Source organism: Homo sapiens, chromosome 8, assembly GCF_000001405.40.
Source record: "Homo sapiens chromosome 8, GRCh38.p14 Primary Assembly".
Classification (NCBI taxonomy): Eukaryota; Metazoa; Chordata; class Mammalia; order Primates; family Hominidae; genus Homo; species Homo sapiens.
In genome coordinates, this window is record NC_000008.11 from 139919788 (window position 1) to 139944891 (window position 25104).

The 25104-nt window shown below is 49.5% G+C and overlaps 1 protein-coding gene and 1 long non-coding RNA gene across 16 annotated transcripts in view, besides 3 other annotated features; one reads left to right on the forward strand and one right to left on the reverse strand.

Moving 5' to 3' along the window:
* The window catches only part of TRAPPC9 (trafficking protein particle complex subunit 9), a 730855-nt gene that overhangs the window by 192063 nt on the left and 513688 nt on the right, over positions 1 to 25104 (reverse strand). The gene's annotated exons all lie outside the window — the stretch shown is intronic.
* Positions 11633 to 14157, forward strand: C8orf17 (chromosome 8 putative open reading frame 17). The gene has a single exon (NR_172942.1). It is a non-coding gene; the product is annotated as a chromosome 8 putative open reading frame 17 (long non-coding RNA).
* Positions 17228 to 17787: an enhancer, noted in NCBI's record as "H3K4me1 hESC enhancer chr8:140949298-140949857 (GRCh37/hg19 assembly coordinates)". NCBI's record gives its function as "activates a minimal SCP1, AML or CMV promoter by ChIP-STARR-seq in naive H9 embryonic stem cells {active_cell/tissue: H9 hESC(naive)}" and the evidence as "EXISTENCE:reporter gene assay evidence [ECO:0000049][PMID:30033119]".
* Positions 19189 to 19690: an enhancer, noted in NCBI's record as "H3K4me1 hESC enhancer chr8:140951259-140951760 (GRCh37/hg19 assembly coordinates)". NCBI's record gives its function as "activates a minimal SCP1, AML or CMV promoter by ChIP-STARR-seq in primed H9 embryonic stem cells {active_cell/tissue: H9 hESC(primed)}" and the evidence as "EXISTENCE:reporter gene assay evidence [ECO:0000049][PMID:30033119]".
* Positions 19691 to 20190: an enhancer, noted in NCBI's record as "H3K4me1 hESC enhancer chr8:140951761-140952260 (GRCh37/hg19 assembly coordinates)". NCBI's record gives its function as "activates a minimal SCP1, AML or CMV promoter by ChIP-STARR-seq in primed H9 embryonic stem cells {active_cell/tissue: H9 hESC(primed)}" and the evidence as "EXISTENCE:reporter gene assay evidence [ECO:0000049][PMID:30033119]".

Sequence of the window (25104 nt, forward strand, 5' to 3'; positions counted from 1 at the left end):
CAGGTGCGGAGGACCCCATGCACAGGAAGGCAGTGGCTTGAGGGCCCAAGGCAGCACGGTCTCCATGCTCCCTGGTTTTACCCTTCATGACCCGCTCAGACTCCAGGCGCGGCATGGCACTGCCCGGACCCTTCCGCCTAGTGCTGGAACCATTTCAACACTCTTCCAGATTTGTTCTGTCTGTAACGGTGGGTTTTTGGGTTTTCTCCAATGTTCCTCACTGAAAATTCTGAAGATGTTTGTATTAAGATTAAAATATCTATCAGATTCTTTACCACTGGGGCGCGGTGGCTCACGCCTGTAATCCCAGCACTTTGGGAGGCTAAGCCGGGCGGATCACTTGAGGTCAGGAGTTCGAGACCAGCCTGGCCAACACGGTAAAACCCCATCTCTATTAAAAATACAAAAATTAGCCAGGCGTGGTGGCGCGCACCTGTAATCCCAGCTACTCTGGAGGCTGAGGCAGGAGAATAACCTGGACTCAGGAGGTGGAGGTTGCAGTGAGCCGAGATCGTGCCACTGCACTCCAGCCTGAGTGATAGAGTGAAAGTCTGTCTCAAGCAAAACAAAACAAACAAACAAAGATTCTTTACCACTTTTCTGCTATTCATTTAAAGTCTGAAAGACCTGGTTTCTGCCTGGGTCTACTTCTAATCTGCCGTGCCCTTGGGCAAGTCACCCTGTCCCTGAGCCTCCCTCCTGGTCTGTAAAGAAAGGAGCCGCTGCCTACACAGTGGCAGCCAGGAGCCAGTGAGTGACCTACGTGGGCCCAGGGCAGGGCACACAGCTGGGGCTCCAACAGGGCTCACTCCCTCCTGCTTTCTGAATTGTAATGGAAAATCAACTGTTTTGAAGTTTCTCTGCCTTAGATGACAGAGAACCAGAGTGTTTCCTTGCTTTTCCAAAGCGTCATGTTCAGCTCACAGTAAGCTGGAAAAAATCTGCTACCACAGCAACTGCCTAGGTGAAGGAACTAGGTTCAGGACCAGCAGCACCTGCAGAGGCAGCTAAGTTACAGTTCCACACTTCCTTAAATGAAAAGCTGGTGCATTGACAAAATCTCAGCTCCTCTCAGTTCCTCTTAGGTTCTTCTGGAATGCCTGGCTGAACTCGAGGAGAGAGGTCAAGGAATGGCAGTGTGGTGGTCACAGAGTCTGCTTCTGCTTCCATCACCTCTGCCACAGATGTGGCTGCATCCCACACCTGCCGTAACAGGTCTCTGAAGGTGTGGGTGCCACAACTGGGAGGCCACCCTGCCAAGCAAGCGGGACCTTGGCAGCCCCCATCACACTCATGTAATTTGGATCTTGCAGCACAGCTAGAGGACACTGGCCACTCCTGTGAAACACAGGCTGATGGAACCACTCGGCTGTAGTCTCCTGAGGCCCTGCAGTCTCACCATACCACGCGACTCCTCCCGCTAATGTGTGAGGGCAGGCAGTCATCACATCACGGCAGAAACAGGGATGCCGCCCAGGGCCAGATCTGAGGGCAGAAGCTTGGGACAAATCACACTGGGTTTGGTTCAGCAGTGTTCAGAGAACAGCTGTCATCTTGCAGGCCCTAAACTCAGTGCATGGGGACATAAAATGAATCAGAAACAAGCCCTTATCTTTCCAGGAGCTTCAGAAGCCCATGAGAGAGATGGACAACAGAGAGCCGGGCTTCATTTGTGTAAGCTGTGGTAAGTGCTACGATACAGAACTTTTAGCATGTTAGAGGAGTATGCAGTATCAGGCACTGATCCTGCCTGAGAAGCTTCAGGAAGAGCTGGAGAGAAGTGTTGACCAAGTTAAGACACACAGTAAGGGGAGCTGGCAGGTAGAGGGCTGTGGGTAGAGAAGGACCATCCCAGATAGAGGGAGCATTACTTGCAAAGAGCCAGGTGGACTAGTGCATGCAGGCCAGCCAGGGACCCTGGATGATCATCTGAGTGGACAGAGGGGCCGGGGGAGGGACACAGCTGAGAGGTAAGCAGGGGCCAGATAAGAAAGGGCTATGGGCTGCATTCAGGTGCACACCTGCCCCCCTGCTGCCGCATCCGAGAGCGCACACATCTGCCCCCTCCTCCCCGCCGCGTCTGGGAGTGCACACCTGCCCCCCACTGCCACATCTGGGAGCGTACACAGCTCAACCCCCGCCCCCAACACCAGCCTCATCCAGGGGTGTGCACACCTGCCCCTCCCTGCTGTCAGAGAAGCCCACATGGAAATAAATGTCAAAGGCTAGTGTTCAGAACATAGGAAATCAAGCAAGGTAGCACAGAGAAGAAACAACAGAAGAAAGTAAAGAACGTTAACTATAGAGAGTGAGAATATTTACTGTTCGCAACAATCACATATGTTAACTCATTTATTTTCATTTCCTTCCAAGGTTGATCTTTGAAATGGTTTGGTGTTTTTTTTTTTTTGGATGGAGTCTTGCTCTGTTGACTAGGCTAGTACAGTGGCACACTCTCGGCTCACTGAAACCCCTGCCCCCTGCCTCGCAGGTTCAAGCGGTTCTCCTGTTTCAGCCTCCTGAGTAGCTGGGACTACAGGCACGTGCCACCACACCCGGCTACTTTTTGTATTTTTAGTAGAGATGCGGTTTCACCATATTGGCCAGGCTGGTCTCAAACTCCTGACCTCATGATCCGCCTGCCTTGGCCTCCCAATGTGCTGGGATTACAGGCGTGAGCCACCGCTCCTGGCCTGAAATGGGTTTTGTCTTCACAAAGCAGATGAGGAAACTGAAGCTCAGGCAATGAAGTGACTGCCAGGAGTCAAGTCTACGTGGACACACAGGACATGTCATTCCCTGGGCCTCCAGACAGGCATGGCTGGCAGTGAGAGCTGGGGCAGCCTCCATAGGAGGGCAGGTGAGGCAGGGCTTCCTCCCCCAGTTCCAGGTGAGACGCGGCCCAGAGGCCAAAGCCCAGGACCCAGATCTGAGGTTCCCAAGGAAAAGTGCATCTTCCTGCCTTCCTCACACAGAGGCAGGCGAGAGGTAAAGGACGGGTCCAAATCCATCCCGTGGACACTAGACAGAGCTGGGACACGAAGCTCAGGCCCAGAGAGCTGAAGGTAGAGAGGGAAAGAATGAGGAACCTCTCTGGCCACTTTTGCTCCTGGTATGTCATTAAAGCAAGCAAGCAAGAGAAATTGGCAGGAGTGTTTTTGGCACCTGGATTTCAGAAACACTGTGGCAGCCTCCCTCATCAGGCTCATCAGAAACCACAGAACCAGCAGAGTCAAGCCCTACAACAGCTTTTGTAGAAGAGCTGCAGATGGGCCGGACTGGTAAGCCAGCTAAAACACAGTATTAGGGTCCTGGGATGCCATCCGTTCCGGAGGTGAATGAAAATCTACTGAGGGACACCGTGCCTAGGTCATCAGCCTCCATGGAAATAAACATCCCTGTATAATCATCTCCCCGCTAAGTGGAGCTGAACCTATACAAGAAGACTACGTTGCAGCAATCTTTTTCGACAGAAATCTTTCCATGTTAAGATGCAAATTTCCCTTCTTTCTACAGGATGCCTGCCTCAGTGTGACCCTGTGACAACATGCCATGGGGGCTCAGGTGACATGTAAAATGCCATGCCGTGGGTTTCTTCCGGCGCCCCATCTGAACACATGGGAGCTGCACGGGCCTCTGCGGCCGGCATTGCTCGCATTGGTGTCCCCACCCCGAACTCACGTTTCACTCAACACTCTGCTCCTGTCATTCCCAAGTTTCAGCCCCACCTCCACCTGGCTAACCTCATCTCAGCCCCACCTCCACCTGGAAAAATTCTCCATCTGCTGGCCTCCTTCTCTCCCTGTGCTTCTAGTGGCTTCCCTGACGAAGCACGTCTGAGGAGGCCAGCACTGCACATGTGCAGAGTCCTCAGAAGAGCGGAGACAGAAGGTCTGTGTGTTCACCTTTCTAGCACCTGACTCAATGCCTCAGACATAGCAGGTATTGAAGAACAGGCTGGTGGAACTAAGAGGCACCCAAAAGCCTCCTGGAGAGAACGACTCAGTAGAGAGCTGACTGGTTTTAAGGCAGTGAAATGCCCCCATTTTGTTAACAAAATGCCTCAATCATATTGAATCAGTAGCTATTAGTTTAAAAATGCTATTATATCTAATTACATATTTCATCAATTCTAAGTGAAATCTCATTTTCCCTAGATTAAAGGGGGGAAAACAAACAGGAAAAGGACATACTCAAATGTGCCTTGCAAACAATCAACAAGGTCCATGCCGAGCACGGGGAGGGGGCATGGCCAGGACCCCACAGGCCTTCTTGTCCCAGGCCCCAGAGCTCAGTGCAGGGTGACAGAGAAGAACTCCAGGGTGTGGAGTCACAGAAACCCAGACTTTCATCCAAGCTCTGCCTCAGTATCAGTGTCATCCTGGATAAATCAGTCAAGCCTCTTGAAGTGTTTTCTTGCTGTGAAGGTGAAGGACAATAATGCCAACCTGAGAGTGTAACGGTGAGGTTTGAAAAGCCGCAGGCCAAGCGCTGGGCACAGAGCATGCACCTGATGGCCAGCAGTGGTACCTGGCAACACTGCTTCCCATGGACGACAGGAGCCCTGCACCTGACCCGGCCACATGGAGCTGAAGGGACAGCAGAGGTCACAGAAAATGCCAGAACCTCCTTAGGAAAGGCATTCAAAGCCCCCCAACTCCCTGGGCCCATGGACCTCTGGTTCTTGCCTGCATACGTGTACCACGGGACTGCATCCTGCCTGGGAACCGTCAACGCACCATCATGCTGCCGGGCCCTGGCACAATCCTATTCCAGCCACCAGGAAGCCCTGCCTTCAACTCTTAGCCTAGGAATCGACTGGTTCTTCAGGGATAAGCTCCAATACAGTCTGCTTTGTAAGCCACCTGGACTTCTCCCCATCCCACCCCCAGGAACCAAGCCCTCGCTATACCCATCAGTCTGTGCTCACACTTTAACCCATCATCAGCCACGCTTGATGGCACTGGTTTCTTTGGATACCTATTTCGTCCACCTCCTTCGCTCCTGGACCGTGAATTCTACAGAGTGAGGGAATTACATCTTACTCATCTTTTACAGGCCTAGAACTCAAGGGCTCATTACATGTTTGCTGAATGAGTTACTGGAAACGGCCTTAGATCACCTGAATGACTTTCATGAGCAGGGGGGTCAGCGGTGTTCAGTGTGGCCCCAGAGGGTAGAGCCAGAGCAGACGGCCTGCAGCGGCCACCAGCTTCGTGTTCTCCAGCACGAGGGGCCACCCCACTACAACTCACGCCTCCCACTGCCTACAGGGGAAAGCTCCCGAAAAGCACACAAAAACAGCTCCCTGAGGAATCCGGGAGTAAAACAAAAGCAGCAGAATGTGGAGGAGTCGACACATGGAATGAGCTCGCCCACGGGGTGGCGGCGCCTCCCACTTTTCCCTCGACCTTTCCTCCACAGTGTGGAAAAAAATGCCCTGTTACAGAGCATCAGGCAACAGCACTGGAGGCCGAAACTCTAACAGAAATATCGCCTTTCTGCCCAGGAAAAGGGGTGGAGTCTTTGTAGGCTGCAGAGTTGCATATGGAGGTGGGGGAATCTTAGAGGCGAGAGAGCTAGAGAAGTGGACCCTTTCATTCTGCATAGAAACCTGCAGAAATCTCGGATTGATCCCTGAGCAAAACAGACCCAACCGAACAGTACAAAGCTGTAAAGGCCGGGCACGGTGGCTCACGCCTGTAATCCCAGCACTTTGGGAGGCCGAGGCGGGCAGATTGCTTGAGGCCAGGAGTTCGAGACCAGCCTGGGTAACATAGTGAAACCCCATCTCTACTAACAATACAAAAACTAGCTGGGTGTGGTAGTGCACGCCTGTAATCCCAGCTACTCAGGAGGCTGAGGCAGGAGGATTGCTTGAACCTGGGAGGCAGAGGTTGCAGTGAGCTGAGATCACGTCACTGCACTTGAGCCTGGGCAACAGAATGAGACTCCATCTTAAAAAAAAAAAAAAAAAGAAAGCCTCAGAAAACAGAACTGGGGTTTGACTACCCAGCACACGCACACGCACACGCACACGCACACACACACACACACACGTTTCAGATTTACCTCTGAGTTATGTACAGGATAGACCTCAGCAGCATGGGAAAGCCGTGAAATGAGATTTGAGCCACACACGTGTCTCAGCCTGACTCCCCAAGAGGCACACGGGTGGGACAGACCCAATGGTGTGCTGCAGCTAGCTGGTTCCCGCTCCCAGGAGCCAACTGTTAGCATCTCTTCTCCACTCTTCATCCAGTGACGTCACGTGGATAGCCTGAAATTGCCCAGAAGGCAAGTATTTGCACTACAAAAATCAGCAAATGCTATGATCCAAGGCTGGTTGTTAAAAATTAACCAAGTCACACTGGAGAGACCCAGAACAATGCAGCAGAGGCCTGGGGAGGTGAGCTTGAGGAGCTGAGATGTGACCTCCCATCCCAATAGGGCCAGGCAGAACTTAAGGTCTGAACCTAACTGGACTGAGGACCTGACAAGACAAATCATCACTATTCTCCAGAGGCTCCCAAGAGAACCCACAGTCTGCAAAAAATAACACCCACAATGCCCAAGACACAATGGGAAACTGACAACAGGAACGAGATCGATTCAGAAGAACGAATGGGTACCCCAAGATCACCCAAATGCTGGAGCCACAAGACAGTCTTTAAAGCAGCCGCTATAACCAGACTCCCGTGACAAAAGAAAACACATTCAAAATGAAGTTTTAAAAATAGGAATTTACAACAAAGAAATAGAAAATATAAAAGAGAGGCAAGTGGACATTTTACAACTTAAAAATACAATGAATTAAAATAAAAAAAAAAAAAAAACTCCTGAATAGCTTGAACCTGGGAGGCGGAGGTTGCAGTGAGCTGAGATTGCGCCACTGCACTCCAGCCTGGGTGACAGGGTGAGACTCTGCCTCAGAAAAAAACAAACAAACAAAAACACCTCCTGAATGGAGAACAGTAGAATGGAGGTAACTGGGGAGAGGGTAAGTTAACTTGAAGATAGACAAGTCACAAAAGAAAATATTGAGAAACTAAACTGCATCAAATGTAAAACTTTTGATATTCAAAAGCAAATCAAGACTGGGAAAAAAAAATCACAACACATTGATTAGACAAAAGATTTGTATCCAAGACTATATAAAGAAATCTCAAAACCCAATAATATGAACTCAAACAACCTAATGAAAAATAGGCAAAATATTTAAATAGACATTTCATCAAAGAAAGTTTCAAATAATCCATAAATACTTGGGAAGATGCTCAGCATCCACAGTCATGGGGGAAATGTAAATGTCAAACTATCACAATGGGAAACACCCATACTTGAACAGCTACAATGAAACAGACTGACCACATCAAGCATTGGCAGTGACTGGGGTGGAAGAACGAGAACTCTCACACACTGCTGATGGGAGCATGCAAGGGAATCTGCTATTTTTTCTTTTCTTTCTTTTTTTTTTTAGACAGTCTCACTCTGTTACTCAAGCTGGAATGTGGTGGCACAGCCATAGCTCACTGCAGCCTAGACCTCCCAGGCTCAAGCAATCCTTCCACTTTAACCTCCTGAGTAGCTGGGACTACAAGTGTGCACCACCACACCCAGCTAATGTTTTTTATTTTTAGTAGAGATGAGTTCTCATTATGTTGTCCAGGTTGGTCTCAAACTCCTGGGCTCAAGTGACCTGCCTGCCTCAGCCTTCCAAAGTACTGGCATTACAGGTGTGAGCCACTGCACCTGACCTGGTCTGGTAGTTTCTTAGTTATCCACAGACCTATCATATGGGCCAAAATCCTACTCCCAGATATTCACCAAGAGCAATGAAAATACGTCTATGCAGAGGTCTGTTGAGGAATGGTTATGGCAGCTTTAATAGCAATAGCCAAAAAAGTAGAAACAACCCAAATGCCCATCAACAGGCGAATGCATACATAAATAATGGAATACTTTAAGAATGAAATACTCAACTACAAAAAGGAACAAACTATTGTTGCAGGCCAACCACGTGGATGAATCTCCAAACCATTGTGCTGAGTGAGTGATGTCAGACAAATGCAAGTCCTCACTATGTGATCCCATTTATATAAAATCCTGGAACACAAGAGCTAATCCACGGCAGAAGCACGCCAGGGGTTGCTGTGGGACAGACTGCAAAAGGGCACAAAGAACTTTTGGGGGTGATAGCAACATTTGTTATACTGAATGTGCTGAAAATTCCTTGCGTATAGACACATATCAAAGCTGATCAAATTATACACTTTAAATATGTAGGGTTTACTCTTCCACAATAATCCTTCTATAAAGTTGTACCAAAAGACAAGCCCTGTGAAATATCTCCCCACCAAAACTGTCTGGCTCTAAACCACTGGAGAAGTGTGTCTTCTAAAGTCAGAAACACCTCGGTTTGGGTTGGGTACAGTGGCTCATGCCTATAATCCCAGCACTTTGGGAAGCTGAGGCAGGTGAATCACCTGAGGTCAGGAGTTCGAGACTAGCCTGGCCAACATGGCAAAATGCCGTCTCTACTAAAAAGACAAAAATTAGCTGGGTGTGGTGGTGGGTGCCTGTAATCCCAGCTACTCAGGAGGCTGAGGCAGGAGAATCGCTTGAACCCAGGAGGCAGAGGTTGCAGTGAGCCAAGATGGCGCCACTGCACTCCAGCCTGGGTGACAAAGTGAGACTCCATCTCAAAAAAAAAAAGAAAATAACAAAAGAAACACCTGGGTTCAAATCTTAGGCCTGGCAAGAGACTGAAGTTCCTTGACCTCAAGGCCTTTGTGTGTACAATGGAAAAGCCCACAGCATCGACCGACCTCAGAGCTGCTGTCGGTACTGGGTGAGTGCGTGGCTGGGAGGTCTGTCCCAGCCCTGGAGGTGACGCATTCTCCACGCCATCTCCATGCTTGTGTGCTGGCCACAGTGTCTTGCCCTCTCTCCACTCCTGAGAGTTCCTTCCTGGGAATCCCAAGGCACCGTACAGTCTGTGTATGGCGCTCACAGGGTCTTGTCTCACCCTTTTGTGGGTGCATTTTTATCTCTAGGAAACCACAGGTGTTTGGAGAGGAAGAATGCATCACAGCCCGTTGATTCTCCACAGTCCCTTGCATCACAGTCTGTTGATTCTCCTCGGTCCCTAAGACAACGCCTTGCAAGCATCACGCCCCTCGATGTTGCTTACGGGAGACGTGTGCGTGGGCGCGGGAGGGTGCCCAAGCTGGTGCTGTGCACGCCAATGGCAATCCCATCTTGTGGAAAATCTATGACTAGCAAATACTTCACGAAATCGGGAATTATTTTTAGTTCTATTTGTTTAAAATAAAGAAGCCACTCTCTTAAAAATGTATTAATTAATTAATTAACAAGCTTCTACATTTTAGGTTTTATATACTTTTCTGTCACTTTCCCTGACAAAGTCACACAGGTAGGAACCATGACTGTCACATTTTAAACAACGATGTCTCTAAAGTCTTACAAAGCACAGCACAGAGTGGATGATCAATACATGAATCTACTGAAAGCTTGGGGTCACCAGGATAACAGATAACGTCTGATACATTTGAGTTAAGACAAGGTGCCTTGAAATAACTTTAGTGCAATGCCGTTCTCAAACACAGCAGTGGTCCCAGGCTTACAATAAAAAAAAAGGGAGGGGGCCGAGCGTGGTGGCTCACGCCTGTAATCCCAGCACTTTGGAAGGCCGAGGTGGGCGGATCATGAGAAAAAAAAAAAAGCTGAGCTGTCCTGTGCTTCGGGCAGCCTCAGTTCTTGGCTTTGGTTTTCTCTCCACACAGAGTTACCGTGCTGCCTGCTGCTTCTTCCTGAGCTACAGGCTTCCATGGTCTTCCAGAAGAATACTGTCCTCTTCTGAAACCATGTTTCTGCATATGCCCTGCTGCTTCAGGAACCATGGTGCCATGCACCCGACACATAGGTGTGTGGGGAGTGGACTCAGGTCCCTTGGCTGGTCACCCAGCAAGCCTGGGCAGCGCTGGCCAGGTGTTCAAGGAAGGCCCAGCAGAGCAGGCTAAGCTGGGATGGGCCTCTGGGGTCTGCCCTCCCCACCTTTCCATCCTCATCTCCAGCCCAGCCCCTCTCTGCCTCAGACCCTTCCATGTCCTGTAAAATGGAGCAAGCACCACCTTGTAGGTGCAGTCCTCAGGAGCAGCACCTGACACACAGAAGGCCATCAATATACGTGTTTGGCACTGTGCGTGGATTCTGCCGATTCTCTACACTTCTCTGTTATGAACAGGTAATTTAAAGAAAACATTGAGCATCGTGAATGGCATATGCTAGGGGCTGAACAAGCATAACTTCACTTCTCTTATTTCTGGGACCTCCCAGATGCCTAAGAGGTGACAGCCAAGGGGGTGACACTCAGGAAGAGCTGAGACCCTTAAGCCTTCTACGCACTATCTTAATGCATGTTTACCCCTCCATCCCAACTCCTGAGATGGGAAGGCTTATAGTGTGGGGCAGTGGGGCTGCGCCAGCCGGGAGTTGATGTGTAACGTGAACAAGATACAGCCAAGGTGAGCAGTGGCAAGGCCAGCGCGCTCACACAACACGGTTCTCGCCAGTCAACTTCTCCCGTGGTGTCGGTAGGGCAGGTGGGTGGCTCAGGATCACAGGGAAAACAAGGGGGTCGATGACTAGAGCCAAGCCTTGGAAAGGGACTTCTGTTCTGCTTTCCAAGCAGCAATGCTCGCATCAGACAGGAGATAGTCACACCCCTCTTTTTTCCATCCTAGACATCAAACAGACAAAATGGTACCAGTGACAGATTAATATTCAAAGGCCATCTTGATCCTTCTAGACCCGTCAAATACAATAAGGAGCATCCCCCGTGTTTAGCCCCATGGAGGAGGGAACTTATTTTGCAATGAGATTTCGTTTTCAACCAATCCTAGTAACCGGCCTTCCAGAGCTGGAGCTCCCTTAGAAACCCAGCCTCATTCCACCGCTGTCTCATAGATGAGACCCTCTGAGGAGACGCTCAAAACAGGGAAGGAGGCGAAAACGGGGCCACCCAAGGGTTATGAGGATGAAATCACGACGACAGCAACACTGTTGAGTGCTCAGTGTACGCTGGACACCTGCATTAGCTCATTGACTCTGCACTCGGTGGTGCCCCCTTTCATAGGTATGGAAAAAGGCACATGCAGGGTGCCCACCCTGCTGGAATCAGCCCTCAGGTCATGGAGCCTGTTCCCTGTCTGTCCAGGAAGCAACCCCGAGGCCCTGGCTCTTGTCCTCCCACCTCCCAAACTGCCCCAAAGGGGTGAGGAAAAGAGCTTCTAGATGATTCTAACCCCACCTCTATAACCGCAAGCTGTGAGATCCTCGGGAAACACTTCGACCTCATGAGGCTCAGTTTTCTAATCTGAAAAATGAGAATATTAACCATAGACAACTGCCACTCACTGAACACCAGCTGCAGTAGAGCCGAGCATACACGTAATCCTCACCGCAACCATAGGAGCTGGATCCTGACATCCCCATCTCACAGAGGAGGAGACTGAGGTTAATGACGTGGCAAATATCCACAATGACAGTTTCTGCAAGTCTTTCCTAGTGCAATCACCCACAACCACAGCCCTAGAAAGAAGGATGAACACTCTTCCACAGAGGCTGGCACGCACCTTAAGGCAGGTGCCCACTGGAACCCTGTCTGTGGTGTCAAGGATTTTACAGTTGACCTTGAAGACCACCTAGTCCAAAGCTCTCATTGTACAAAAAGCCAAGCCCAGAGGTCACACAAAGCTTTGGACCTGAGCCTCTGGGCCCCGCGGTCTGGAAAGTGCTCCTTTCTCTGCATGCTACGGGGCTATCAACTTGAGCTGGTCCAGTCTGCAGATCTACATCCTGCCCGCCTGAGCAGAGGCGGGTGTGGGACCAGTGCGGATCTCCACGATTTGTCAGCCCATCCTGATAAGTCTGAGGCTCTGACCATCATATCTCATCACAGCATCATTAGGATTACAAGTGCCATGCGGTAGAAGAGGAAGGGAAACACGAACAAAAGGATGAGAAATTAAGCCCATTTCACCCGGAAAAGATGACTCTGATTTATTGCTCTATAGCAGCTGACGATGGCCTGTCAGAGAAATTCTGTGTTGAAAATAAAGAATAAAAATCACCCAGAGTTGTTTTGCCACACATCCAAATTAGAAAATGCTACTCTCCGGATGATTTATGCTTCAATTTTTTCCCTTATTCACAGAGAATTTGTCCAGCATTACAAGAGCACCTAAGAGCAATAATACAATTCAAAAGGAGATAGAAGAGGCCGCAGAGGTGTTGATGTGCGGCTGAGGGCGGGGTGCTGGCCCAAAGGCAGGGCTTTGGTGCTCAGAAGCATTGACCTTACAGGGAGGAACAAGGAGAAACCAGCCAGGCAGGCCCCGCAGGCAGCCCACAGAGCCACTTCGCCGTGCAGCCGAGGGAGTCCCGCACCACGGGGCCTCGCTCAGGGTAGCCACCATGGGAGAATGTCCCCACCTCGTGGATGTCAGGCTTGGCCACAGGTCCTTGGCCACGGGACCTGAGCAGAGTGACATATGCCACACTGGATCAGAAGCACGCTGGACCACCACGTGGTATGGCTCCCTTTCTTTCTCCCGTCATAAGTACAAGATGTTGGCTGACCTGACTCCTGGGGTAGAAATGTCATGTAGACACTGGGCGCGGTGGCTCACGCCTGTAATCCCAGCACTTTGGAAGGCCGAGGCAGGTGGATTGCCTGAGCTCAGGAGTTCGAGACCAGCCTGGACAACATGGTGAAACCCGTCTCTACTAATTTACAAAAAAAATTAGCCAGGTGTGTTGGCACATGCCTGTAGTCCCAGCTACGTGGGAGGCTGAGGCACGAGAATTGCCTGAACCCCAGAGGTGGAGGTTGCAGTGAGCCGAGATGGTACCTCTGCACTGCAGCCTGGGCAACAGAATGAGACTGTGTCTTCAAAAAAAAAAAGCACTGTCATGCAGGGCAGGGTCCCAAGGCCCCAGCCAACCTCTCGTTGACATGTAATGTAAGAAGATGTCAACTCATGCTTATAGTCACTGACATTTAGGAATAGTCTGTTACCACAGCATAAGCTGGTAAAAAAAAAAAAAAAAATCATACAGCTCTTCTTCCCGGAACGCCCCTGCACCTCTGCTCCGGTGCACAAATGCTTTCTCTTCAAGGCATGGCGCAAAAAAGCCACTACTTCCAGAAGCATCTCCTCATTCCCCGCCGGGAGCAACATCTCTCTTCTCGAGACCCCAGCCCCTCCGCTGTCTACCCATGGACTTCCTCAGTGTTTGTTTTTTGCATGATTCTTTGTGACCAAGCTGTTTCTCCAGCTGCCTTGAGGACATGCCCTAGGGAACAGTGCTCTGAATCGTACCTGGATTCTGTGCCTACCTGCTCCATCTAAAGCAGAAAACTCCACAACTAAGATCTCTTCTAACATTTAAGGAATAGAGCCTAATTAGCGCATGAATACGTGTTGAACTGTGAATGAATCAATGAGTATGGAAACTACATTATACGCAGTGCTGATAGAACCAAGTTGCCAAGGGAGATATCATCTCTCCTGCAGGAAGGAAGTCCTGCCTCCCACTGATCCACTCAGCGCACAGCCTTGAACAAAACAGAGCAAGAGTTATAACCTTCAGATGTGGGGGCAGAATAGGACCCATTTGGGCAGACACAGGCCACGGAAACCACAGGGCCAGCGTCTTGAGCCCTCGATCAGACGCCTCCCGCCCACCGCGGCCGCTTCTCCACGCTTTTGCCCAGATCTCTGCACCGCGTGGCCCGGTCTTGCCTCCCTGAGGACCACACTGGCTGCAACCCAAACTCGACTCTTCTACTTACACTTGCTCAGCATTTTTGTCATCCCTGCCCTTGGCCAATCCCTGTCTTGGTTTCTGCTCTTCCCACACAAAGTTTTGGGAATCAATTCATACATATTTGAGATTAACCAAAGTCCATGATCAGTTCTGGACCGCTATGGATTCCAGATCCACCTTACGTAGCCGTGTGAGCTCCGGTAAATTACATAACCCATCAAATTTCTTTATCTATAAAGCAGCAACAATAATGTCACGAAGGATTAAGGTAAAGATGAGAAATAGTATAGCAAAAGCATCTACTATGCTATGTGGTTGCTAGTAGGTGTCATCTATTATTTATAAACCTACATGATCGTAATACCATCCTGTCCATATTTCTCCATCCTTAGCTGCTACTACGTTATAGAAACCTCTGTGAGAAGTTATACTCAGCAGAATTCATTTTTGAAAACAAATTTTTTGTAAAACAGGTTAAGCTATGTGATTGCCTTCATTCATTCAACAAAATGCTTTGTGTGCCGACACTAACAGCCACTGTTTTAGGCAAATGTGGTTGAATCCCTGACTTCAAGTCCAATCAGAGAGAGACAGAGAGATTAGGCAAATGTGGCTGAATCCCTGACTTCAAGTCCAGTCAGAGAGAGAGAGAGAGAGAGAGAGAAGATGAGAGTAGCTGTACGCACAGCAGGAGCGTGCACAGGCTACCTGGCAGGGGTGTCTCCTGTCATTACAGTTAGCAGTGACAATAATGACAAATATTCTACCACCATCAATGACAATTTGCACAGACAATGGAAAACCTGGGCTCTTGAAACTTCATTCTTCCAATCTCTTGTAGGCCATGCACTGCTGACTGGCTTTCCTGGTGCTATTTCAGTGGTACTCATAGTGTAGAGAGAGTTTTTTACTTAATGATCAGCCCCTGTCTGAGTCATCACTTCTAAACCGCTCAGCAATTCTCTTTCAATCCTCTTCCACCTTCAGGAAACTGCCTTCCATCCGCCGAGGAATCTCCAGGCTGCACATGTGGCCACAGGAGGCCCCATCCCTGCAGACTGGGGAAGGCGCGCCCTTCTGATCTTGCAAGTAGACACATGGGGCCCAATCGCAAGGGTTCCTCGGTCAGTGTTCGCTCAGATAGGGGACATGGCTCTGGGCAGGACAGCGCTGGCCAAAGGACGAAGTGACTGACCTGCAGCCACTCAGACTCTCAGACTTGAGATAGGAGCCCCAGCACTGCCAAGTCCTACTTGTGGGCTGGGTCAAACCAGGTTAGCTTTCCGAGGTCTTGCCAGGACACCTGCTTCCCAGGCTTGTTGTGAGAATTAGGCAAGACAATGTTCACAGAGTCTCTGGTACATCACACGGAGAAGACAGAGGACCACAGGTATTCCCTAGGAGACCTGTCACTTCACTGCTCAGGATTTCAGCCCCTCCCGGTACGTGATCTCATGGGAGCCCCGAAAGACCAGACAAGACATCACCGTGCGAGAGAAGGTGCATGGTGAATGAAAGCCTACTGATGTCTGCGTGCAGGACCTTCTGTCCTAGAACCCCAAAATGGTAGACTCGGGGGTTCTTCAATGTAGTGGCTGCCAGGGAAGGAGAGGGGAAAGATTTCTAAAAAATTACACGTGCTTTTGTGTTTGGGAGCTCTCGCGTATCCTGTCTGCTTCTCAGGGTTACAGGGTGACCTGCCAGCTCTGAGACCTTTGACTATTTCCTCACCTCTCTGGGTCTCAATTTCCTCATCTATAAAATAAGAAAAAACGTCTATCCCATGACGTTCTTACAGGAATTCAATGAGAGAGAATGGACTGCGTGTGCAGACAGTCCCAGGCAAGTCCATGACCAGTGTGTTTGAGTCCTCCCCTCCCTTTCTAGCTCCTTGCCTATAAAAAAGAGAGAAGAGGATGGTATCTAGCTTCCTTCCCAGAGCTCCAAGCTGGGAAACAGGGATATGATATGATATGGCATTTTTGTGAAAAGCATCTCTTAGTTAAAATATGCTTCTTCAGTCTTTGCTTTTTTTTTTTTTTTTTTTTTACATTTGTTCTAAGCTCAACTTATTTGCCGTATGAACTCGGGCAAGTCACTTGATGACAGTAACAAAAGAATTATTTTGCTATTATAGCCTACCATTATTTAGTGTTTTACAATTTAACACAACTTCAGAACAATCACCTCATTTCATCCATACAAGAACCCTTCCTCATTCACCGATGGGGAAACTGAGGCACACAGATGCCACACTAGTCACCCAAAGGGATGGAGCTGGAAATGCAGTGTCAGGATGGCATGTGACCTTTCCTGCTCCAGTCCCACAATGGGGAAGCCTGCACCATGTGGGGAGGGCCACTCCTGCCCAGGGCTTGGGGAACCTGGTGCGAGCACAGGCCTGGAGTGGCGTCACATGCTCACGCTGACCTCCACCTCACCTGCTCCACGCCTGTTGGCCTCTGAAGACTCTAAAACTCCTCACCTGGATTCCCGGCATCCCTAACTCCGGCCCTTTTGAGATAGCGCCTACCAGAGCCCAGGAGCGCCACAGGCCAACAAACCGTCTAGCACGCACCATCACAGCTCTTAGTCCTGCTGAAGGAGGATTTAGAGATGGAAAATCCCAAACACCTCCTAAAGTGATTTCCGAGGCAGGCAGTGCGCTTCTTCATTCATAACATGCATGCTGAGTGCCAGCTCTGCCAGGAGCACAAGGCCACATGCTATGAACACAAGGACAAAGGAAGCGCAGCCCCTGCAATCAGGCACAAATGGTGAGTGGGGAGGTCGACACCTATATGCGGAGCTGTGGCAGACGCTGTACCAGAGCTGGGAGCCCATCCAGTGGGAGCATGGGGAAGTCACTCGGCTTAGAGCCTTCTAAAGGTAGAGCAGAGCCACTAGGCCCCTGAGCAAGGGCAGGGCACCCCAGGACGAGGACTGAGAGCCGAAAGGTAAGTGTGTGGCACACACAGGACGAGTGGGCACTGAGTGTGGTGATAAAGCAGGGAGAGAATGGGGGAGCGGGCACCACAGTGTGGTATAAAGCATGGGGAGAGTGGGGAGTGGGGACTGCAGTGTGGTATAAAGCAGGGAGAGAATAGGGGAGTGGGCACTGCAGTGTGGTATAAAGCATGGAGAGAGTGGGGAGTGGGCACTGCAGTGTGGTATAAAGCATGGAGAGAGTGGGCGAGTGGGCACTGCAGTGTGGTATAAAGCACGGAGAGAGTGGGGAGTGGGCACTGCAGTGTGGTATAAAGCATGGAGAGAGTGGGCGAGTGGGCACTGCAGTGTGGTATAAAGCATGGAGAGAGTGGGCGAGTGGGCACTGCAGTGTGGTATAAAGCATGGAGAGAGTGGGGAGTGGGCACTGCAGTGTGGTATAAAGCATGGAGAGAGTGGGGAGTGGGCACTGCAGTGTGGTATAAAGCATGGAGAGAGTGGGGCTGGACTTCAGGCTGGAGGGGAGCAAAGTCAGACCATACCTTGCTGCATCCCAGGAGGGGGCTGCTTTAGCCCCCTGTGTCTACAGGACATTGCACTGTGTTCTTGAAGAGTAACAGTAAAAGCTCTTTTTATATTATGGGAAGAGGCACAGAAGAGTGAACACAAAACGATCCCAATTTGGTGTGAATGAAGTAAAGTAGACACAGATAGCAATATGGGTGCGGGCCCAGAGAGGGAGGTATTCTCTCTGGATGCTGGGATTCCGTGTCATCCAAACATTATTTTCTCCATACTTTTCCTTCTTTTCTAAAATGAACACATGTTATTTTTGTGGGTTGGGCTGACATCTCAAAGAAGAAAAGAAATCCCCTTCCTAGGAGCCCAAGGCGCTGCGGGGACAGCGCTGGGGGCAGCGGCTTCAGGAGCAGGCGGAGGCTGGAGGGCCGAGGTGGCAGGGCCGGTGCTGGGGCCAGTGGGGCCAGGAGAGAGGGAGGATCAATGTAAGCCAACAGAGAGACCAGCGTCGTCCACACTGGAGGCAGCAAGGAGAGGAAGGGAAGAGAATTAGAATGAGGCGGTTCTGGAAGTGCTCCTGGCAGACGGCAGGGCAGTGAATGAAAACACTTGGAAGGCGCAGTGTGAAGCGGAAATGCGGACGCAAATGTCACGTATTATTACCGCTGCCGCCACGGTTTCTAATCGCGTTAAACATGGGTAATGAAGCCTTCTCTGGCCAGCGCTTGACAAAGCCATCGCTGAGCAGCTGCCACCAGGGCTCCACACACGCTCTGGTGCCCGCTGTGGCTCAGGACGCCGACAGGTGAAATGCATTACCAGATGCACAGAGACACCTCCTCAGTGGCCCTGAGTCTTCGGGGATTTGAAAACAGAGTTCTCCTTGTGGGAGATCAACTCAGCCAGAAAAATCTTTTGGGTGTCTGGCTTAATACTGAAAATGCCACAACCATTGAAATATGAATAGGAGAATGTCTGTAATGATATGCAATTGACAATTAGGGATAAGAAATACATTCCTGCATTGAAACAATAAAGCAGCAGCCTCTCTCCACCCATGGCTTCCTGGCAGGTCTTTGGGAACCTGACAAAGCTGCCCCACCTGTGTGTCAACTCAGCCGTCCCTATGCCGAAATCAGATAGAAAACCACACAGTCAGTGGGTCCTTTGAAACAGTCTATCTTTATTTTTTTTTTGAGACGGAGTCTCACTCTGTCACCAGGGCTGGAGTGCAGTGGCGCGATCTCAGCTCACTGCAAGCTCCGCCTCCCGGGTTCACGCCATTCTCCTGCCTCAGCCTCCCGAGTAGCTGGGACTACAGGCGCCCACCACCATGCCCAGCTAATATTTTGTATTTTTTAGTAGAGATGAGTTTTCACCGTGTTAGCCAGGATGGTCTCGATCTCCTGACCTCGTGATCCTCCCGCCTCGGCCTCCCAAAGTGCTGGGATTACAGGCATGAGCCACTGTGCCCAGCTAGAAACAGTCTATGTTAAATGTGCAATTCCTTGAGACACACAGAGCTATACCCGATTAATTTTTTTTTTTTTGAGACGGAGTCTCGCTCTGTCGCCCAGGCCGGACTGTGGACTGCAGTGGCGCAATCTCGGCTCACTGCAAGCTCCGCTTCCCGGGTTCACGCCATTCTCCTGCCTCAGCCTCCCGAGTAGCTGGGACTACAGGCGCCCGCCACCACGCCCGGCTAATTTTTTGTATTTTTAGTAGAGACGGGGTTTCACCTTGCTAGCCAGGATGGTCTCGATCTCCTGACCTCATGATCCACCCGCCTCGGCCTCCCAAAGTGCTGGGATTACAGGCGTGAGCCACCGCGCCCGGCCCCGATTAATTTTTTAAGGCCAAAGGAGAGAAATAAGACAAATGAATAAAGTGCCATGTCCTCAGATTCAGCTCCTCCATTCCTCCCTGCCACTTGACAGACAGGAGGGAATGCCCACTGTTCTCCAGGCGACAGGCACCAGGACACAAGGGCCATTCAAACATGACTTGTACTCAAAGAACTGGCCAGACAAGTGAGCAGGCAACTCCACCATACTTCGCTAAGGGCTATATTTGGGGGACATTTGCCATGGGAGCCAGAGAATGGGTGAAAGCCCAGAGTCCAAGGAAGGTCCTGGAAGAGATAACACCTCTGCTGGACACCGGGGTCTGGAGAGGTCAAGGAGCATAGGAGCCAGGGCCCTGAGGTGAGTGGACAACACACAGCAAGAGGCGTGGCGGGCAGGTGCCAGCACCTGAGAGGGGGCCGGGAAGCGGGGCGAGCCAGAGAGGGCAGCCCCTGGCGAGTGAGGAAACTCCAGAAGGAGGTGGTCCAGCACGCCGCATGGGGCTAAAAGGACAGAGCCTCCCCAACCGAGACCCTCAGCCCACCCTCCCAGTCCCCATTCCCAGGGCAGGATCTGCTCCCAACCCGTCCAGGTCCACAAAGGCTCCTGTTTGAAGCTGCAGGCCTGCAGGTGTGGGAAGCACCCCTGTCGTGGGGCTGATGTGCATCCTGGCAGCCCCGTGTCCCAGGCCACCCCGTCGCTGGGGGCTCTGTGCCTCCCTCTGGTCCTTTTCAGCAAGTGCTCCCACCTTCTGTGGCTCCACAACAGCCTGGTCACATCTGATCATGGCTTATTCAGTATTGCCCAAAACAGTTTCAGTTCCTAAGTCCTAGAATTGGAAAGAAATCTCTAAGTTCAGAATGGCAACAAAAATGCCTCCAGGGCCCAGGAAGAGAGGGAGGCTGGTGCAGAGGCAGGTGCAGGTCTCATCTGCGGGAAAGGCCTGCCCCTCTGGCAGCCAGGCCACAGCATGCGGCTCTGCACAGCTCCAGCTCCTGATCTCTCGAGAGAACCAGAAACGAGATTGAATCTGAAATTCCTATATTTTTACAATGACAGCTCAATTTGTTGTTTCTTTTTTCACCCTAGGCAGCCCAAATATACCTGCGAGCTGGACTGGGCCTGCTGGCCACACGTCTGGGATTCCCGTCGTTTGGTTGGAACACATCATCATCAGTTCCCCTCACCCCTGTCTTACAGGATCCGCCACGGCCTCCACCCTCAGACACAAGGAGCGCAGGTGGGTTACTGCCCCCAAGTCTCTCTTACTTCTGAACAGTTCTGGCAGTCAAGTTTTTCTTAATACATCTTCTCCACCATCTCTCTAGACACTGACACAAATTACTAGACAGAGAAACAGGGAAGACATCAGATACTGAAGTTTGTGTTAATTGGGGAGTTTTTGCTATGCTCTATTCCAACAAATATTATCATCGTCATCATCTTCATTTTCAATTTCATACTGTGAAAAACCTCATAGTGCCAGAAGGAATGAAATGAAACATAATGAAATGGGGGGGATTTTAAAAATTGAAAAGCAAATGAATCAGACACATAGCTAGAGTATATCTGCTCCCTCCTTGCAGAGGCAGGACGTGGAGAGCGGCAGCCCCAGACTCAGCAGAGTCACAGGCCTGGGCTCAAAGGTGCAGAGGGGCCGGCAGGGACACAGGGCAGGGGCCACGCTCCAGCTAGGCCAATGGCAGCTCCACTGTCACCCACAGAACTTCCTCCAAGAAGCTATGACCAAATCAGCCAGAGAGGAGCCACAGGCACCTTGGCCAACGTCCCTCTTCCTCCTTCCCCACCTCATGGCCGTACAGAGCTTTGGAAATTAGGAGCCAACCACAGCAGAGGTGGCTGGAACCCTAGGGAGGGATGAATTCACTCTTCCACACAGAGGGAGGCTGAGTTCCGGCAGGGCGCTGGGCCAGGGTGAAGGGGAGCTGGGGAAGGGGACAAGGCTGTGGGTGTCCCCAGGCATCTGCGATAGTAAAGTGCATAAGCCGGGCACCCACAGCAGCCTATGAAGGGGGGTTGGGGTAGCATCTCCCATCACTGTCCTCACTGGGACATACCTGGGGTGGACCCACATGATTGGTTCTGTGGCAGGCCCAGAACCCCTTGGCATGGGCAAATGGAAATGCCTGTCTGGGCCTCAGCTGCAGACACTGAAGAACAGGGCAGCAGAGCCTTGGGCAGGCACGATTGGCTAGTCTTCAGAGCGGGTGGGCATCCTCCCCGGCCCTCAGCCTTCACAGGAGGCTGCCAGGTGAGAAGGGTGCAGTCCACACGCACCATGACCAGGACCCTGGGGCTGCAGAAGCCTCACAGGGAAACAACAGAGGCCGTCAGAGCAGAAGTAGTTTGTCCACTTCCCTGGAGGGCCGGCAGCCCCTAGCCAGGAAGTGGGGCTGAGATGCTGCCCCAATGCCCAGAAGTGAGGATTCAGGGTGGGGCCCTCTTACTGTAGGAAGAGGCTGTGCTCTCAGTTGCAAGACTAGAAGAGTAGGAGTGAAAATGGGACACAGAGGGCCCAGTATGGCAGGAGGGCAGGCCAGGGGCTGGCAGGAGGGCAGTCAGTGCCCTCATCCTGTTTAGCCTTAACAAAGGCAGAGAGAGACTGTGCCAAGTGGTAACATCACCATCCAATTCAACAGCACAAGGAAAGGAATTTTCCAAGGCTAGTCACAGGTATCTACAACAGACTGGTTTGCCCAGACAGCGTGACTGTAACTGTGGCAAGCCAGTGCTCCCAAACACGACAAATGCAAGCATTTCAGTGAAGGTCTCAGGGCAGGCTGGCCGAGCAGGAGGCAGGCTGGGCAGAGGGCATATTCCACTCTGCACCCCTGGGCTCAGTCTCTGGCCCACATGGGCTCCGGGCATGGGTTTGCCACACTGTTCTGCAAACTTCTTCCTAAGGCAAATGGGAGACAGTGCCAGAGCATATCTGAAGGAGCCCCATGGGGAGGGTCCTGCAGATCGGTGTGCAGGAAGGACAGAGACACATGAGGGTGTATGAAGAACACAGGCTCCAGAAGCAAACCCATCTGGGATGGAACCCAGCTCCCTCCACTAAGTCACCTACCTTCTCAAGCCTTAGTGTCCTTTTCTGTGTTTTACAAATTAAAAGACTCGCCTTACTGATTTGTGAACACTGAACTGGGCTGACGGATATGAGAACACTTTGTGGACGGTGACTCGGGATGGTAATAACAGGGGGCGGCCACGTAGCAACCCTTCTCTAGTTCTCAGCAAGGGTGATGACATCTCCGCCTGCTGAGCACGAGGGTTCTCCCTCATTTTGGCATTTTACCTTCCTAGGGTCGGTTAAGGAATAGACACCCAATAGTTATTTATTGAATCCCTGGGCATTGACCCAACAAGTGTTCTTATTTGGATCAGAAATTTGGTCATTGGTCATTTTATTTTTAAAAAAAATCATGAGAATCTTAAGAGCTTCTAATGGAGGCAAGATGCTAGAGACAGAATTTGAGAAAAACCATTCTCAAGACACCTGAGAAAAACCGTCATCCCCAGAACTTCTTATTGGTGCTTAATAGGTGTAACAAGAGTTCCACAGTCAGATAAACTGGGGAAGCGTGAAAGTTGGAAAAGTAGAAAAGTTCCAGTACATCTGAGCAAGCTCCAAAGCCTCCTGCAAATAATTACTATAAATTCTGGACACATTTTTTTTTAATAAGCAACCTGAAGGCACTGGCAGGAAAAGAAAAACAGACATAGTCGAGAGAACAGAGAACAGACACCCGGAAGAAGGAAAACCACGGTGCCAGGTACCCTTCCTTTATGACTTCTTGTCTGAGGACAGGCCGAGTCAGCACCACGTGGAAACGAAAGCTCGGGGAGAGACTCTGCCATCTTCCTTGGCCAAAAAGTCTGAAGACAGAGTTTGGGGCAACCACAGCAAGGGAAAGGGAGGGAGAGTTCAGGAAAGGAGAGGGCCGAGAGCAGGAGTCCAGAATGTTGTACATAGAATCTGCCCAGAGCTTTGGCTTACTCCTGAACCTGGTGTGCATGGAGCAGAGTCAGTGAAGTCCAGCTAAGGAGAAAAGAACAAAACTGAGATTCGAGATGTCCAAGAGGTAGAATTTTGTTTTTCTTTTTTAAATTGAGACAGAGTCTCATTCTGCCATCCAGACTGGAGTGCAGTGGTACGATGTCAGCTCACTGTAACTTCCGCCACCTGGGTTCAAGCGATTCTCCTGTCTCAGCCTCCCAAGTAGTTGGGACTACAGGTGCATACCACCACGCCCAGCTAATTTTTGTGTTTTTAGTAGAGCTGGGTCTTTGCCATGTTGGCCAGGCTGGTCTCGAACTCCTGACCTCAGGTGATTCACCTGTCTTGGCCTCCCAAAGTGCTGGGATTACAGGCATGAACCACTGTGCCCAGCCGAGGTGGAGTTTTCAATTACAGTCCAACAAAGATAAACAACTGCTAAATAATAATTTTTTAAATGAACTCTCTCCAAAGGACTATAACAAAATCCAGAGACTCCACACATAAGATGACAATGTTCAGGATATAATTGAAAGTTAACTGACCTAAGAAGAACCAAGAAACTGACCCATCCTTAAGAGAAAAGACACTCAATAAATTGACATCAATTTGAGAGAATACAGACGTTGCAATTAGCAGACAAAGATTTTTTAAGTTATTAAAACTATACTCCAGAACATTATTGAAAATACTGTGGCAATTCAGGAAAGAATAGGAAAACTCAGCAGACAGATAAAAATTACTTTAAAAAGTGGAAAAGCTAAAACTGAGAAATAGAGTATCTTTAATAAACAATGCATTGGATAGGCTTCACAGAAGAATGAAAGTGATGGAGGAAAGAATCAGTAGACAGAAGACAGGTCAAAGTAAGTCATCCAATCTTAAGAAGACAGATAAATGAAACATGAGCAGCTAGGAAAAAAACAAAACAAAACAGAGCTTCAGGGACCTGTGGAACAATATCAAACATTCTAACATACCTGTCCTTGGAGGCACAAGAATGAGGCCGAAAAACACATGTGTTCAAAGAAGTCATAACCAGTATTTCCCCTAATTTGGTGAAAAACATAAATGTATAATCTTAAGAACTTTGGCAAAACCCAAGCAGAATAAGGGAAAGGAACTTTCAACCAGAATTCTATATCCAATGAAAATATCCCTCAGAAATGAAAGCAAAATAAAAACATTTCAGATTAAAGAAAACTAAAAGAAATTATCAACAGAAGTCTCCCTTTACAAGAAATGCTAGAAGAAAATTCTTGGAGTTACAGGAAACGAGTACCAGATGGAAATGAAACTTGGCTATTTAGGTAATAATGAAGACCATCAGAAATAGTAAATACTTGGGCAAATATAAAATATTGTTTTCTTATTTATTTTAAATACAGATGACTTCTTAAAACATATCATTATCCTTGTGTGATTTATAATGTACATAGATCTGACACATTTGACCACTATAGCTTCAATGACAGGGCTTAGACACAGGAACCGATGTGGTTGCAAATATTCTATATTTTATGTGAAATGACACAATAATAACTTTAAATAGACCATGAAAATTAAGGTTGTGTATTGTAATCCCAACAGCAACCACTAAAAACATAAAGAGGTATAGGTAAAAAGCTGACAGATAAATTCATATGTGAATATGTAATTCATATATAAATACATACATATATGTTATATAGAATTAAATAATACAAAAGATGGCAGGAAAAGGGAAACAAATGAATAAAAAGCAGTGGGGTCATTCAGGAAACAAGTATTAACATAGCAGACTTAAACCAAATACCAATAAATACCTGAAATATTAATAAATTAAATACTCTTAAAAGACAGAGATTGTTACAATAGATTAAAAAAGCACGCCAGCCATGGTGGCTCATGCCTGTAATCCCAGCACTTTGGGAGGCCAAG